This window comes from Homo sapiens, chromosome 19 (genome assembly GCF_000001405.40).
Source record: "Homo sapiens chromosome 19, GRCh38.p14 Primary Assembly".
NCBI classification, from domain to species: domain Eukaryota; kingdom Metazoa; phylum Chordata; class Mammalia; order Primates; family Hominidae; genus Homo; species Homo sapiens.
Window position 1 is genome coordinate 2,664,579 of NC_000019.10, and position 17,611 is coordinate 2,682,189.

Sequence of the window (17,611 nt, forward strand, 5' to 3'; positions counted from 1 at the left end):
CAATCAGACGGTTGGCTCTGTGTCCTGCACCCTCAGTGCTCTAGAGACCCTCCTCACCCAGTCCTCTAGGTCACTCTGGGAGGATGGCCCCGGCTGACACCGTCTGCCCCATCGGGAATCTATTCTGGTGTCTACTGTGAGCAGGGAGCAAACTCATTTTTTTGCCAGTTAATGCAAGGTCTCTCCCCTGGAAACCGTGGACATTCAGAGCTGGGTCATTCTCTAGGGTGCAGCTGTCCCGGACACTGCAGGGTGCTGAGCAGTGTCCCTGGCCTCCACCCACTCCACGCCACGACCATCCTCAAGTTGTGACAACGACAAATGTCCTCAGACAACACCCAGTGTCCCCTGGGGCAGAATCACCCTCAGTTGACACCCCCTGAATTAGGAAATTCCACGGACCCCCAAGATACTCTGTCCCCTGATCTTCTGTCCTGCTGAGGTCCCAGGAGGCTGCACACATTGAAATCCACACCTTTAGTTGGGGGGAGGGAGAGAGGAGGTGAATCCCACGAGCTGGGGTCCCCTGGTTTACACCGTCTGCCCCATCAGGAGTGTGTCCTGGTGAGCAGGAAGCAGACTCCATTTCTTCTCCAAATAATGAATGCTGAGTCTCTCCTCCCAGGCACGGTGGACACTGGGGCTGTACCATTCTCTGGGATGGAGCCGTCCTGAGCACTGCAGCACGCTGAGCGGCATCCGTGACCTCCAGCCACTGCATGCCCGGAGCACTTCTCAATGGTGACAGCCACAAATGTCCCCAGACATGGCCCAGTGTCCCCTGGGGGGGGGGGGGCAGGATCACCCTGCCGTGCTGGACAGTCCTCGCCACACCCCACCTCTTGGAACTGGAATGTCTGGTGAGACGGGCAACAAGGATTTGGGAAGAGGGCCATGCGGGACAAAAAAAAGAAAGAAAATGAGAACGAACGGATTTCTATTTCCCCTCAATGTGAAAATAGCTCCACTGAGTCCCGAGGAAGGATTGGGTGGGGACGTACGCTCTGGTATGGCCAAGGTGGAGTGCTGGACAAGAGCTACTCCATTCTGACTTCACGACTCGCTGTCTGGCTGGGTGACCTTCAGTCCCTTGCCACTGTCGCTGTGCCTCAGTTTCCCACTCTGTAGAATGCACATCGAAGCAGCATCCACCCTGTGAGACTGGTTTTGGAGATTACATAAATGAGTATCTATAAAATGTTTAAAGTGGTGTCTGAGCCATGGGTCATGGCACATACTGGCTTTATTATTTAGAACCTGGATTACCTCCTTTTATTATTCTTTTTCAATTTATTTTACTTATTTTTTGAGATGGAGTCTTGCTCTGTCATCCAGGCTAGAGTGCAGTGGTGCGAACTTGGCTCACTGCCTCTGCCTCCCGGGTTCAAGTGATTCTCCTGCCTCAGTCCCCCATATAGCCAGTATTAGAGGCGCCCGCCACCACGCCCAGCTAATTTTTGTATTTTTAGTAGAGACAGGGTTTCACCATGTTGGTCAGGCTGGTCTCGAACTCCTGACCTCAGGTGATCTGCCTGCTTCAGCCTCCCAAAGTGCCACCGTGCCCGGCTTATGTTTTAATTTTTATTGTATTTATTTATTCATTTTTATTTTGAGACAGAGTCTTGCTCTTGTCGCCCAGGCTGGAGTGCAGTGGCACGATCTCAGCTCACTGCAAACTCAGCCTCCCGGGTTCAAGGGATTCTCCTGCCTCAGCCTCCCGAGTAGCTGGGATTACAGGCACCTGCCAACATGCCCGGCTAATTTCTGTATTTTTAGTAGAGATGGGGTTTCGCCATGTCGGCCAGGCTGGTCTTAAACTCTTGACCTCAGGTGATCTGCCCACCTCAGCCTCCCAACGTCCTGGGATTACATAGGTGTGAGCCACCATGCCTGCTTTTTTAGTTTTTACTTTTCATAGAGATAGGATCTTGCTATGTTGCCCAGACTGGCCTTGAACTCCTGGGCTCAAGCGATCCTCCCTGCTCAGCCTCCCCAAGTGCTGGGATTACAAGTGTGAGCCACCTTGCCTGGCCAGATTACCTCCTTTCTGGACTAGACCAGAGCACAGCAAAGTGTTTCTGTCTAGGGCAGGATGTAAAAATTTTCAGCCTTACGGAACATATGTTCTCTGTTGCAGCTACACAGTTCTGCTGTTGTATTTTGAAAGCAGCCATAGACTATGCATAAATAAATGGGCATGGCCCATCGTGTGCCAATAAAACTTTATTTATAGTAACAGGTGGCCTGGATTTGCCCCCAAGGCCATTGGTTGAGACCCTCGCAAAACAGTCTAAGACAAAATAGCACCATTTCAGCAACTAAATACTCTCATCTAGGCAGTGTTCCAGTCTTCCATCCTGAAATTAGATGAGGGTCCTGTCAAAAAAGATTCACCTCCGATCCTCAACATCACACGGCAGAGTTAGCACAGAGCATCCCTTCACACAAAACACACACTCATCCGGGCGCGGTGGCTCACGCCTGTAATCCCAGCACTTTGGGAGGCTGAGGCGGGTGGATCACTTGAGGTCAGGAGTTCGAGACCAGCCTGGCTAACATGGTGAAACCCAACCCGTCTCTATTAAAAATACAAAAATCAGCCGGGCAAGGTGCTGCGCCTGTAATCCCGGATACTTGGGAGGCTGAGGCGGCAGAATCGCTTGAACCCGGGAGGCGGAGGTTGCAGTGAGCAGAGATCACGCCACTGCAACCCAGCCTGGGCCACAGAGTGAGACTCCCTCTCAAAAAACAAACAAACAAACAACAAAAATTTTCACAGCCCCAAGGTTTTGTTTCTTTGAAATGCAGAAAACGGCTGTTTCTTTTCTTACCATCTATCTTCTGTGCGTGAATACCTCACCTCTATGTGCTCGCCAGAAAACCTCGGCTGCAAAGGGCATTCGGAATATCTCATTTGGGGCCAGGTGCAGTGACTGACACCTGTCATCCCAGCACTTTGGGAGGCCGAGGCAGGAGGATCACTTCAGGCCAGGAGTTCAAGACCAGCTGGACAACACAGTGAGACCCCATCTCTACAAAAATAATTTAAAAGTAGGCCGAGCGCAATGGCTCATGCCTGTAATCCCAGCACTTTGGGAGGCGGAGGCAGGCAGATCAGCTGAGGTCAGGAGTTCAAGACCAGCCTGGCCAACATGGTGAAACCCCGTCTCTACTAAAAATACAAAAATAGGCCGGGCATGGTGGTGGGTGCCTGTAGTCCCAGCTACTGGGGAGGCTGAGGCAAGAGAATGATATGAATCCAGGAGGCAGAGATTACAGTGAGCCGAGATTGCACCACTGTACTCCAGCCTGGGAGACAGAGCAACTCTGTCTCCCAAAAAAAGAAAAAGCAAACAACAACAACAAAAAAGAAAATCTGAAAAACTGTCACAGGCCAGAGATGGGATCCTGGATGGGGCCCTGGGGCAGGAGAGGACATTAGAGGAAACTGAGGAAATCTGAACAGAGTGCAGACTTGGGTTAATGAAGATGTATCAATACTGGTTTATTCGCTGTGACAAACGCACCATGCCATTGGATGTGAATACTAAGGAAAATTGGGTGGTGAGGAGATGAAACTGTCTGCACTGCATTCCCAGTTTTTCTGTAAATCTGAAACTATTCTAAAATGAAAAGTTTATCAAAAAAAAAAAAGAGACAGAGAGAAGAGAAGGACGACAGGCAATTAGCTACTTACGCTAGAAAATGCTGTAAAATGTGATTGAGGGAACATTAAGTTCATGTGCCAGCATCTAATAATGAGATGATTATGTAAAACCTAGAAAAGAAAGACGCTAAAAACGGGATATGCAAATTGGCAGGGGAAATTTGCGCTTATGAAAAGAATGGGAGGGGTGGGGGAACCAGTGGCTGGGCGGTTGGTCTTGTCTCCTGTTTCCCTGGCTCGGTGACGGCCACCAAGGACCCCAACCCCAGGGAGATGGAGGGGCTGCTGGAGGGAGCCCCCGGAACACCCGAGGCCAATTTCGGCAGCATGGTGTATTCCCTACCAAGGCTGTCGGCATCCAGGCAGCGCTCAATGAATGCCTGCTAAGGGTGCAGCCGCTCCTGGGCTGGAGGAGGGCTGCAGTTTTATGGATGGAAAGTTCTAGAAAATAAGGGTGATGCTGTGGTCTGAAGGAAGAAGCAAGACAACTGATAATATGCCGTGACATCCTGATCTTTGCACAGCGGGTTAGATATTGTCACCCACACCTGGTGCTGACATTTGGGGCCAATGGCTGTGGTAGGGGGCTGTGCTGAGTACCGCAGGGTGCTGAGGAGCATCCCTGGCCTCCATCCTCTCTATGCTGGGAACACCCCTCAACCGCAAATGTCCCCAGACATTGCCAAATGTCCCCTGGGAAGTAGGATCATTCCTGCTGAGAAACCACGGTCCCACAATATCCAGCTTAATCCACCTGACAACCCCATAAGGGATACATATAATCCTCCTTCCACAGATGGGGAAACACACTGAAACGAGGTAAAGTCAGCTCAAGGTCACCACCCTAGGAGTAAGTCTCAAAGAAGGGGGTGGTCGTGTGTGTTGACTGCCACTTTAGTAACAGAGACCCCTATGCTGGGCAATGCTGGTCTAACATGGCAAGAATCAGAAAACTACCGCTGTGGGTTGGGCGCGGTGGCTCACACCTGCCATCCCAGCACTTTGGGAGGCTAAGGCGGGCAGATCACGAGGTCGGGAGTTCGAGACCAGCCTGACCAACATGGTGAAACCCCATCTCTACTAAAAATACAAAAATTAGCTGGGCGTGGTGGTGCATGCCTGTAATCCCAGCTACTTGGGAGACTGAGGCAAGAGAATCGCTTGAACCCAGGAGGCAGAGGTTGCAGTGAGCCGGGATCGTGCCACTGCACTCCAGCCTAGGTGATAGAGTGAGACTCTGTCTCAAAACAAACAAACAAAAACAAACACAAACAAACAAAAAAACTACCACTGTGGGTCAAATCCAGCCCACCACTTGCTTTCGTCAATAAGTTTTGTTGAAATACAGCCATGCCCGTTTATGTACTATCTAGGGCACTTTCCAACATCAACAGCAGAGTTGAGTGCCTGCAACGGAGAGCGCCTGGCTCAGAGCGTCGAAAATATTTACTCTCTGGCTCTTTACAGAAGAGGTCTGTTGATGGCTGGGTGCAGCGGCTCATGCCTGTTATCCCAGCACTTTGGGAGGCTGAGGCGGGAGGATCACTTGAGGCCAGGAGTTTAAGACCAGCCTGGCCAACACGGTGAAACCCCGTCTCTACTAAAAATACAAAAATTAGCCAGGCGTGGTGGCGGGTACCTATAATCCCAGCTACTCGGGAGGCTGAGGCATGAGAATCACTTGAACTCGGGAGGTAGAGGTTGCAGTGAGCTGAGATCGCGCCAATGCACTCCAGACTGGGTGACAGAGCGAGACTCTGTCTCAAAAAAAAAAAAAAAAGAAAGAAAAAGAAAAGGTGTGTGGACACCTCACAAGACAGAGCCCCAGAGCCCTACATCATTACTTCAAGGCCTCTGACTGTTTTCTTTTGAAACTCTCTGTCTCTCTCTCTCTCTGAGTGCTCCGTTAATATTTTGTTGGAGGAACAAAAACAGCAGGGTCAGCCTCCTCAGGGGGTGAAATAAGCTCTGTCTGGTGCAGCCTGGTTCTGGCCACGGAGACCCACCCTCCCCTCAGCCTGGCTCCAGAGGAAGGAGCACCAGTGGGGATAGACCCACCCCACTGTCGGGGGAGCAGAGACTGGCAGCAGGCCTGCCTCTGAGGCCCCCGCGGGAGCCGTGCTGTCACCTCGACCCCGCTGTCACGGGGGACAGAGCTGAGGCCTGCGCTCCCAGCGCCGGTGTCTGCAGGCACACAGGTCACCCTGACTCCACAAAGTCAGCCCTGCAGCCTCCAGACGGTCAGACTTGCTGAGCTAGGACGGCCACTGCGTCCCATGTGGCTTGTTTTCCCAGACCCTGAGCTGCCTCGGGCATGGCTGTGTGACGGGTGTGGAGATTCACAGAGCACCCTATTCTCTGAGGGTCACTTTGGTCCAGGGTCTCCTCCCCTAGGCACTGCTGAGGCACTGGGGCTGGAGTGTTCTCTCGGGCGGGGCTGTGCTGGGCACTGCAGGGTACTGAGCAGCATCCCTGGCCTGCACCCACTCCATGCCAGGAGCCCTCGCCCCGCCCCCCACAAGTTGTGACAACCACAATGTCCCAGACTTTACCAGGTGTCCCCTGGGGGACAGAATCATCCACCATTGACACCCCCTGGGTTACAGATTCCAAGGACCACCCCTCCCACAAAGAGACGGCGTCCCATGATCCTCTGCCCTGCTGAGGTCCCAGGAGGCTGCACATATTGATATCCCCACCCTGAGTGGGGAGGGAGAGAGGGGGTGAATCCCAGGAGCTGGGGGTCCCCCTGATTTTGGGAGTTTATTCTGGTGTCTGGTGTGAGCAGGGAGCAGACTCGATATTTTTCCAAATAATTAAAGCAGGGTCTCTCCCCCTTGGAATTCAAGGATGGATCGTTCTCTGTGGTCACCCTGGGCACGGCAGGGTGCTGAGCAGCATCCTTGGCCTCCACCCAGTCCATGCCAGGAGCTGCCCCTCTCTTAACTGTGACGACCACAAATCAGTACCCAACTATGTTTAAAACTCTCCAGCTGATCTCAGACAACCCACCTTCCACCAACTCCCAGCAGCTCAGGAGCCTTTCTGATGACCACCCTGGCAGTTGCAGGAAGGCCGAGGACCACCCCGGATCCCCCTGGACACCGGTGGCTCTGAGCCTCGACCTGGCCAGCACCAGCCAAAAGGACCAACCCTCCAAGTGCTGACGAACGAGGTGAATGAGGCTCAAGGTGACGTTGTCCGGCCTGCCTTCTGCCTCACACGCTTCCCCCAGCTTCAGCCGCCTCCCCGAGACCCGAGAGCTGGGGAGGAGCCAGGCAGGGGAACGTTCGTCCTGGCTGAGCTCCGAGGCCATGTCCAGGGGTCATGAATTTGAGGTCAGCCCTGAGGCGGGAAGGTGACGGGTAGCATGCGGAGCCCCAGAGAGACAACACCTGGCCCATTCAAAGGGCATCAGGCACCGCTCCTGCCCCAGTGGGTGTGAAGCCCAATGTCATCAGCTCCTCCAACTACTCTGAGAAGCTGGGAGATGTTCTATTGTAAAATCTCCTGATTTTTAGTTTCATTTTATTTTATTTTATTTTTTTTTAAGATGGAGTCTCTGGGAGGCCGAGGCGGGTGGATCACGAGGTCAGCAGATCGAGACCATCCTGGCTAACACAGTGAAACCTCGTCTCTACTAAAAATACAAAAAATTAGCCGGGCGTGGCAGTGGGCACCTGTAGTCCCAGCTACTCGGGAGGCTGAGGCAGGAGAATGGCATGAACCCGGGAGGTGGAGCTTGCAGTGAGCCGAGATTGCGTCACTGCCCTCCAGCCTGGGTGACAGAGTGAGACTCCGTCTCAAAAAAAAAAAAAAAAAAAGATGGAGTCTCGCTCTCTCACCCAGTGGCGCAGTCTCAGCTCACTGCAACTGCTGCCTGCCAGGTTCAAGCAATTCTCCTGCCTCAGCCTCCCGAGTAGCTGGGACCACAGGCACCTGCCACCATACCCAGCTAATTGTATTTTCAGTAGAGACAGGGTTTTGCCATGTGGGCCAGGCTAACCTCAAGTCATCCTCCTGCCTCAGCCTCCCAAAGCACTGGGATTGCAGGCGTGAGCCACTGCACCTGGCCTATTTTTAAATATTTTGTAGAGATGGGGTCTCACTGTGTTGCCCAGGGTGGTCTAGAACTCCCAGCCTCAAGCAATCCTCCTGCTTCAGCCTCCCAAAGTGTTGGAATTACAGGTGTGACGCCCGATTTTTTTTTTTTTCTTTTGAGACAGAGTCTCACTCTGTCATCCAGGCTGGAGTGCAGTGGTGCGATCTCAGCTCGCTGCAAACCCTGCCTCCCATGTTGAAGCAATTCTCCTGCCTCAGCCTCCTGAGTAGCTGGGATTACAAGTGTGTGTCACCACACCGGCTAATTTTTGTATTTTTAGTAGAGATAGGGTTTCACCATGTTGGCCAGCTTGGTCTCAAACTCCTGGCCTCAAGTGATTTGCCCGCCTCGACCTCCCAAAGTGCTGGGATTACAGGTGTGAGCCACCGCGCCTGGTCTGTGACCCCTGATTTTTAAATGCTGGCAATAATTCAAAGTTTAAAGCCACTGGGTTCTACCTTGGCCAGGTGACCAATGTCAACACCACCAGTGTGGACGTCACGTGCCCCTGATGTGTTCTCCCCAGAGCCCTGAACCCCAGACTATTCAAGAGCAAACATCATGGAAACTCACGTTGGGGGACATTTTACAAAACTCCTGACGAGTCCTCCTCAAAACCACTAGGTTGGCCGGGTGCGGTGGTTCATGCCTGTAATCCCAGCACTTTGGGAGGCCGAGGCGGGCAGATCACAAGGTCAGGAGATCGAGACCATCCTGGCTAACACGGTGAAACCCCGTCTCTACTAAACAATACAAAAAATTAGCTGGGCGTGGCAGCGGGCGCCTGTAGTCCCAGCTACTCAGGAGGGTGAGCCAGGAGAATGGCCGTGAACCCGGGAGGCGGAGCTTGCAGCGAGCTGAGATAGCACCACTGCACTCCAGCCTGGGTGACAGAGCGAGATTCCATCTCAAAAAAAAAACAAAACAAAACAAAACAAAACAAAAAAAAACCCAGCAGGTCATCAAAACCAATGAGTCTGAGAAGTGTCCCAGCAGAGTGTAAGGAGATGTCGGGAGTCAATGGCATGTGGGTTCCTGGAAAAAACAAGAAAATGGAAATAAAGACCGGGCGCCGTGGCTCACGCCTGTAATCCCAGCACTTTGGGAGGCCGAGGCGGGCGGCTCACCTGAGGTCAGGAATTCGAGACCAGCCTGGCCAACATGGTGAACCCCTGCCTCTATTAAAAATACAAAAATTAGCCGTGCAGGGTGGCAGGCACCTGAAATCCCAGCTACTTGGGAGGCTGAGGCAGGAGGATCATTTGAACCCAGGAGGTGGAGGTTGCAGTGAGCCAAGATCACACCACTGGCACTCCAGCCTGGGTGAAAGAGCGAGACTCCATCTAAAAAAAAAAAAAAAGAAAGAAAGAAAGAAAGAAAAATAAAATGTAAATAAAGTGTGGAGTTGAGTTCGTGATAATGTATGGATACTGGTCTTTTTAGAAAATTTCTTTCTTTCTTTTTTTAGAGAGAGGGCCTTGTACTGCTTTTGTATATTTTAAACATACAATTGTGTATATTTCCAATATATTTCAGAGTTTTCTTAGGATACATTTGTGATAATTTGTTACACAGAATTAGCTAACTAATATAGGCTGTTTCCAAAATTCAAAACTACCCTAAAAGAAATCTGAGGCCAGGGACCGTGGCTCACGCCTGTAATCCCAGCACTTTGGGAGGCCAAGGTGGGCGGATCACCCAAGGTCAGGAGTTTGAGACCAGCCTGGCCAACGTGGTGAAACCCCATCTCCACTAAAAATATAAAAACTAGCCAGGTGTAGTGGCACCTTGCCTATAATCCCAGCTACTCCAGAGGCTGAGGCAAAAGAATTGCCTGAACCTGGGAGCCAGAGGTTGCGGTGAGCCGAGATCACCCCACTGCACTCTAGCCTGAGCAACAGAGTGAGACTCCATCTCAAAAACAAAACAAACAAGAAAAAAGAATCTGAAATATAATGGAAATACACACAATTGTATGTTTGAAATATACAAAAGCAGTACAATCCACTCTTGAAGGGAATCAGAATCGTCACACTGCTGGGAAAAGGGCAAGGTCTCCAAAGGTGACTGGTGTTTTTGTTTTTTGTTTTTGTTTTGTTTTTTTTTGAGACAGAGTCTTGTTCCGTTGCCTAGGCTGGAGTGCAGTGGTGCAATCTCAGCTCGCTGCAACCTCCACCTCCTGGGCTCAAGCGATCCTCCTGCCTCAACCTCCCAAGTAGCTGGGATTACAGGCGCCCACAACCATGCCCGGCTAATTTTTGCATTTTTAGTAGAGACGAGTTTTTACCATGTTGGCCAGGCTGGTCTCGAACTCCTGACCTCAGGTGATCCACCCGCCTTGGCCTCCCACAGTGCTGGGATTACAGGCGTGAGCTACTGCGTCTGGCCTGCAAGGTGACTGTTTTAAAACACAGAGGACACCTGCTGAGATGCAAAGTCAGGGAGTGTTGAAGAAAACAGAGATCTCCTTATGTGATGGTCGTAACTCGCATTTCCACCCTCGACAGCGCCGACTCCATCGGGCAGCTTTTCTACATAGTCAAGTTTGAAAACTGTGCCATTGTACGTCACCAGAAACGGACTCGGTTAGAAAACAATGCTCTTTCGTAATGTATACCGTACTACTTTTCCTAAAACGGAACTGTCATAACGCCTCCCCCTCTGGCTGAGACTAGAATAGATAAAAATCCAGATTTTCACACACTCGGGACTGGTAATGTTTTAACACATGGAAAACGCGACAGGGTTACAGACTGCTTTAGCTTCTCCAAACAAATCCGCAACGGCGCCAAGCACTCCTAACAGTTGGACGTGTTCATAAATGAACCCAAACAGATCACGTTCTCGGAGACGGATGCACGCCAGAAATTCCTGTCGTGCCCCTGAAGAACTAACAGGTCTCTCTCTGCAACGGTGGACGACTGGTCAAACCCTGGAACCAGCCAGGAACAGCAGCAAGTGCACGGGCTCGGGAATGGGAATCTGGCTTTATGGAACCTCCAGGCTCAAGGGGACACCAGGAAGGGACAGCTTCGTGACCAAGCCCGGTGTGACCCACCAAAAATCTGCAACCACGAAGACCAGGAAATGCCAGCAGTGCCGAGCAGGAGAGGTCGCTTGACGGTAAAGAAGCAGGGAGCGTTATTTAGCAAACCAGGCTGGTTAAAGAGTAGAGAATATCAGATGTCGCGGCCCCTCTGCAGAGGACAGTTCTGAAGGACAGCGATGACCTAAATTGGCTCCTATGAGGGACTGCTGGGGGAAATATTTCCCCAGGATCCTATAAGATACAAAGAAAAACATATGAAAACAGAAAAGATATTCCCGACACTTGGGGGTCTCAATGGGGCGGGGGAGGTCTGAGGACATCTGTGGTTTTCACGATTGGGGGGAGCTCCTGGTATGGAGTGGGTGGAGGCCAGGGACACTGCTCAGCACCCTGCAGTGCCCAGGATGGCCCCTCCCCAGAGAATGATCCAGCCCCAATGTCCACAGCACCAGGGGGAAGAGACTCAAAGTTAATTATTTGGAAGAAAATATTGTTGAGCCAGATGCCTCAGAATGGGACCTTATTTGGAAACAGGGTTTCTGCAGATGGACTTATTATTAAGATGTGGTTGTGCTGGATTAAGATGAGCCCTAAATCCAATAACTGATGTCCTTATAAGACGAGGGAAATTTGGACACAGACCCACACAGGGAAGGGGGCCGTGTGAGGATGGAGGCAGAGACTGGAGCGATGTCACCAGCCCAGGGGCGCCAAGAACCGCCGGCCACTTGCCAGATGCTGGAAGAGGCAGGAAGGATCCTCCCCGGGAGCTTCTGGGCCGGGAACGGCCCTGCCCACACCTTCGTCTCAGACTTCTGGCTTCTAGAACTGCCAGAAAATCCATTTCTGTGGTTTTGAGCCATGCAGGTTGAAGTCATTTTCCATGGGCGCCCTCAAATATCCAAACTTCACCCCACAGAGACCCTCCCCTAGGCACCCACATCCTGGCATGTTCAGACACCCTCCTCGTGAACATGCACAGCCCCCAAGGCACCAGATAGACATTGATTTCCATCTAGAAGTGTCCGTCAAACCCTCAGCGATATATCTCTGCCGCCCAGGCTAGAGTGCAGTGGCACAGTCTCAGCTCACTGCAACCTCCACCGCCTGGCTCAAGCGATCCTCCCACCTCAGCCTCCCAAGGAACTGGGACCACAGGCGCGCACCATCATGCTTGCCTAATTTTTGTTTTCGCTTTCTGTAGAGATGGGGTTTCACCATGTTGCCCAAGCTGGTGTCAAACTCCCAGATTCAAGTGATCCTCCCGCCTCGGCCTCCCATAGTCCTGGGATTACAGGTGTGAGGCATCGCGCCCAGCCTCTTTGGTGGTTTTCAGGAACAGCTAGTTAGTTATTCTGCAGATGGAGGTTCAGGAGCTTGCACCACTTCCTAGACCCGGCTGGAGGAGTTGGGTGTAATTTTCAGCCGGGCGGGTGCAAGACTCAAAGAGATGTGTGGCAGAGAGAAGCTGTTCAGACAGCTTCTGGGGTTGCCAGGAAGAAACAAGCCACTTGCTCCGATCTGCACATTCCCTCCCTGTCCAGGGCTGATTTCCACCCAGGCAGGACTCCCGATTCCCAGAGAATCTCAAAGCAAGGCATTCTCCTGGCCGTGATCCGGCTCTCAGCTCTAAAGGGACTCCATATCTTTACTGCAGACCCAAATCTGTGTCACCACAGAGGAAAAACGGCCGCTTAATTACACTTGCATATATGCTCGCAAGAATTCTTCCAGGGAGCAGGATCTGGGAACGTCCTCTGGAGACAGGGCCTTCCAGGAGACGCTGAGCTCGGTGTTGGAGCATGGAGGCTGAATCTAATCCATCAACAGGATGCCACAGGGGAGCAGAGAATTCCATTTTTTTTTTTTTGCTTCAATTCCTTTCTATACAACCGTGGTTCTCAACCAGGGGTCCTTCTGGTCCCCAGGGGATGCTAGGTGGTGTCTGGGGGCATTTGTGACTGTTATGACTCAGGGATGCTCCTGGCGTGGAGTGGGTGGAGGCCAGGGATGCTGATCAGAACCTTGCAGTGGCCAGGACAACCCCACCCCAGAGAACGACCCAGCCCTGAATGCCAAGGGGGAGAGACTCTGCCTTAATTATTTGGAAAAATATTGTATCTGCTCCCTGTTGACACCAGACACTAGAAAAAATTCCCGATGGGGTGGATGGCAGAAACCAAGGGGGGCCCCAGCTCCTGCGATTCTCCTCCTCTCTCCCTCCCCACTCAGGGTGTGGATTACAATGTGTGCAGCCTCCTGGAACCTCAGGAGGACAGAGGATCATGAGACACAGAGTTTCTTGGGGATCTGTGGAATCCCCTAACCCCCGGGGGTCTCACCTGGGGGTGATTCTGCCCCCCATGGGGCACTGGGCAATGTCTGGGGACATCTTTGGTTGTCACAACTCGGGGTGTCCCTGGCATAGAGTGGGTGGAGGCCAGGGACGCTGCTCAGCACCCTACAGTGCCCAGGATGGCCCCACCTCAGAGAACGATCTGGCCCCAAGGTCCACAGTGACAGAGAGTGATAACCGCTGCCATAATCTATAGGACTGACCATAGCCACATGCATATGGTCACACAAACATGAGTGTGACTGTCCCTCTGACTCAAAGGACAAAGCCAGTCCCAACCTTTCTAACCCTGCCACCTGTGCTGACCACCAGTGGCCTCTGTGTGGATGTTAGTTAGGGTTCAGCAGCCTTAGGAAAACAGAACACCAGGCATCCAGACCTTCCACTGTGGCCCTGAGTGGAAGAGGAGGTGGCGGTGGCCGACGCCAACACTGTCACAGCAAGAAACAAGAGAGTGGGTGTGACTGTGGTCACTTCCATCTCAGGGCACATGCTACATTGAGGAAGTAAAACCTGGGGGGAGCGAGATATACAAGAAGTGAAAGGTGACTTGTAGAATGTTCTGGAATCTTCCAGAAGCTTCTGGAAACTTCCAGAATTTTCTGAAATATAGTAGGTATTGTGGCATAGCAAGGCTTTGGATTCAGAAGCTGCTGGGCTTGGGCACGGAGTCAAAAAAGTAACAGAGGAAAAGCCACGGAATGCAAACTTCCAGGGATGACATGGTTGCCACACAGTGGGCAGGTGGGTCACACCCACTGTACACAGGTCACACTTGGCTCTTTGAACTCAGTCACCTATTATGGGTGGAGGAACCAAATCCTGGGATGGGGTAATAAATGCATACGGTTTCAGTTTCCCCATCCACAACACAGGGAGAAGAATCAGATAAGGTGTCCAGTCTCGGAGGGTCCTGGGCAGCAGGCAGCGCCTCCAAGATCATCACCTCCAACCCTGATTCTGCCAAGCCCCAGCCTGGTAACTACTTCTCTCAAGGGGTCCCAGCTCTCAGAGCTAGGAGTGGCCTTCAACGCCAGGTCTACACCCCATGCCAACAGAATCCCTTCCCTGACCTTTGCACCAGCCAACCCATCCTCCGTCATGCAGCCTTCGACGATCGGAAACCAACAGCTTCTCATGACGGTCCCTCCGATTTCCAGACAAGCCTGATTCTTAAGCCAGCCCAGCCAAGCTACAGCTCCTATCCCATCTCCCCAAGAACAGACTTCATCGTTTTCTGAATTTGGTCCACGCCCATGGTGTCCGTGAGGAAAAATAACAACATAAGTAACATATAGTACAATGCTAATTTTTTGAGACGGGATCTTGCTGTTGCCCAGGCTGGAATGCAGTGGTGCAATCATAGCTCACTGCAGCCTCAACTTCCTAGGCTTCCAAGCAATCCTCCTGCCTCAGCCTCCCAAGCAGCTGGGACCACAGGTGTGCACCACCATATCTGGCTAATTTTTAATAAATTTTGTAGAGATAGAGTCTCACTATGTTGCTCAGGCTGGTCTCGAACTCCAGGGCTCAAGCAATCCTCCCACCTAAGCCTCCCAAAGTGCTGGAATTACAGGTGTGAGCCACCACACCCAGCCAATACTAATATTTATACATAATATATTGAATAATATTAGCAGTGATTCCAGCAATAACAGTGATAACCAGGACCACCACCCATCCAGGTCACAGCCTCGTAGTCCATCCCAATCTTTTCAATGACCCTAGGGAGTGATTCCTATCCTGTCTGACACACAAGGAAACAGAAAGGTTCCATGTTTTCTTCAAAATTCACACAGAAAGAAAGTCACATGGTGGCTAAGTAGGCATTCTAAATCCAATGCCTCACCATGCCTACATTCCAGAAAACTCTAGAAGGCTCTGGGAGTTTCTAGAAGGTTCCAGAAGATTCCAGAACCCTCCATGATTCGCCACCTTTCACTTTTTACATATCCTATTCCCCCAGGTCCCACTTCCTCAAAGCAGGACAGAATTTTCAACCCCTTGCATTCCCATCTGCATCTTCACCTTACTCATTGTATTAACTCCAGGCACCAGGTAGCACCTTCCTAAATTACCTGGGCTTGGCAAGACCTAAATCAAAGACATGACCTGCTCAGTAGTCCCAGATGTGAAGAAACTCAAAATCCAATGCCAGAATCCCTTAAAACAGAACCAGTCAGTGTCCACAGCTCTATTAGGCTTGACCCACAGTGGAGAAAGATGAGAAACCCACAGGGAGAAAAACAGGACCGTCTTCTTACAGTCTAAGACTGTCAGCCAGGCACGGCAGCTCACGCCTGTAACCCCAGCATCTTGGGAGACCGAGGAGGGAGGATCGCTTAAGCCCAGGAGTTCGAGCAGCCTGGGCATCATAGTAAGACCTTGTCTCTTTTTTTTTTTTTTTTTTTTTGAGACAGAGTCTCGCTCTGTTGCCCAGGCTGGAGTGCAGTTGTGCGATCTCGGCTCACCACAACCTCCACCTCCCAGGTTCAAGTGATTCTCTCTGCCTTAGCCTCCCCGAGTAACTGGGATAACAGGCACCCGCCACCATGCCTGGCCAATTTTAGTATTTTTAGTAGAGATGTGGTTTCACCATCTTGGCCAGGCTGGTCTCAAACTCCTGACCTCAGGTGATCCACCCGCCTCGGTCTCCCAAAGTGCTGGGATTACAGGCATGAGCCACCTTGCCCAGCCACCTGTCTCTATTTTTTAAAAAATTAAAACATTTTAAAATTAAAAATTAAAAGCTCTGAAAAGTGACCACATAGACTAACAGTGGGTTTTTTAGTAAAATACACTTAACACAAAATTTACAATTTTTTTTTTTTTTTTTTTTTGAGATGGAGTTTCCCTCTTGTTGCCCAGGCTGGAATGCAATGGTGAGATCTCAGCCCACTGCAACCTCCGCCTCCTGGGTTCAAGAGATTCTCCTGCCTCAGCCTCCTAAGTAGCTAGGATTACAGGCATGCATCACCACGCCTGGCTAATTTTGTATTTTAGTAGAGGCGGGGTTTCTCCATGTTGGTCAGGCTGGTCTTGAACTCCCGACTTCATTCGTTTCTTTTTTGAGACAGGGTCTTGCTCTGTTGCTCAGGCTGGAGTGCGGTGGTGTGATCACAGCTCACTGCAACCTTCGTCTCCCGAGCTCGCATGAGGGTCCCCATGTCCTACCTCCCCGTGAGCCCTTGTGATTGTTTGTTGTTCTGGTTTTTTAATTCTAGCCATCTTACTGGGCGTGAAGTGGTATCTCACCATGGCTCTGATTTGCATTTCCCTGAGGACTGACGCGGAGCATGTTTTGAAGTGAAACCGACAGTTTTTGTTTCTTTGATCCTCCTGTGTAACCCTCCCAAGTAGCTGGGACTACAGGTGTGCCCCAGCAGGCCTGGCTAATTTTTATTTTTATTTTTTTTGTAGCAACCAACTTTTTTTATTTTATTGTTTTTGAGACGGAGTCTTGCTCTGTTGCCCAGGCTGGAATGCAGTGGCACGATCTCGGCTCACTGCAACCTCCACCTCCCAGGTTCAAGCGATTCTCCTGCCTCAGCCTCCCGAGTAGCTGGGACTACAGGCGCCCGCCACCACGCCCGGCTAATTTTTTGTCCTTTTAGTAGAGATGGGGTTTCACCATATTAGTCAGGATGGCTTCGATCTCCTGACCTCATGATCCGCCCGCCTCGGCCTCCCAAAGTGCTGGGATTGCAGGCGTGAGCAACCTCACCCAGCCGGTCTCCAACTCTTGGACTCAAGTGATCCTCCCACCTCGGCCTCCCAAAGCGCTGGGATCACTAGCATTAGCCACATCACCGGGCCAGATCCTTCTTGCGCAGTGTTTGTGTGGACATACGCTTTCACTTCCCTTAGGTGTACGTCTAGGAGTCAACTCACAGGGTCATATGGAAACACTGTATGTAACCACTTCAGGAACTGCCAGGCTGTTTCCAGAGCAGCTGTACCACATGATGTTCCCAGCAGCGACGCATGAGGATCCCCGTGTCTCTACCTCCCCGTGAGCCCTTGTGATTGTTTGTTGTTTTGGTTTTTTTAATTCTAGCCATCCTACTGGGTGTGAAGTGGTATCTCACCATGGCTTTGATTTGCATTTCCCTGAGGACTGATGCGGAGCATGTTTTCAAGTGAAACTGATAGTTTCTGTTTCTTTGTTTTTGTTTGAGATGGAGTCTTGCTCTGTTGCCCAGGCTGGAGTGCAGTGGCGCAATCTCAGCTCACTGCAACCTCCGCCTCCCAGGTTCAAGGGATTCTCCTGCCTCAGCCTCCCAAGTAGCTGGGATTACAGGCGCGCGCCACCACGCCCGGCTAATTTTGTATTTTTAGCAGAGACTGGGTTTCACTATGTTGGCCAGGCTGGTCTTGAACTCCTCACCTCAGGTGATCCACCCACCTTGGCCTCCCAAAGTGCTGTGATTACAGGCG

At 51.4% G+C, this 17,611-nt stretch overlaps 1 protein-coding gene across 2 annotated transcripts in view, besides 4 other annotated features; it reads right to left on the reverse strand.

Annotated features, from left to right (window-relative positions):
• Positions 1-17,611, reverse strand: part of GNG7 (G protein subunit gamma 7) — a 191,476-nt gene that overhangs the window by 153,360 nt on the left and 20,505 nt on the right. The gene's annotated exons all lie outside the window — the stretch shown is intronic.
• Positions 3,236-4,504: an enhancer, noted in NCBI's record as "amplified fragment containing the chr19:2667812-2669080 (GRCh37) CAGE-defined region". NCBI's record gives its function as "transcribed enhancer in B cells {active_cell/tissue: B cell}" and the evidence as "EXISTENCE:reporter gene assay evidence [ECO:0000049][PMID:24670763]".
• Positions 3,736-3,805: an enhancer, noted in NCBI's record as "active region_13712". NCBI's record gives its function as "activates an Ori minimal core promoter by ATAC-STARR-seq in GM12878 lymphoblastoid cells {active_cell/tissue: GM12878}" and the evidence as "EXISTENCE:reporter gene assay evidence [ECO:0000049][PMID:35858748]".
• Positions 5,744-5,944: a silencer, noted in NCBI's record as "peak3237 fragment used in MPRA reporter construct". NCBI's record gives its function as "represses an SCP1 promoter by STARR-seq MPRAs in K562 erythroleukemia cells {active_cell/tissue: K562}" and the evidence as "EXISTENCE:reporter gene assay evidence [ECO:0000049][PMID:32103011]".
• Positions 13,504-13,652: a silencer, noted in NCBI's record as "fragment chr19:2678080-2678228 (GRCh37/hg19 assembly coordinates)". NCBI's record gives its function as "represses an EF-1alpha promoter that drives an FKBP-Casp9 reporter gene in an ReSE screen in phorbol 12-myristate 13-acetate-treated (for megakaryocytic differentiation) K562 erythroleukemia cells {active_cell/tissue: K562(+PMA)}" and the evidence as "EXISTENCE:reporter gene assay evidence [ECO:0000049][PMID:32094911]".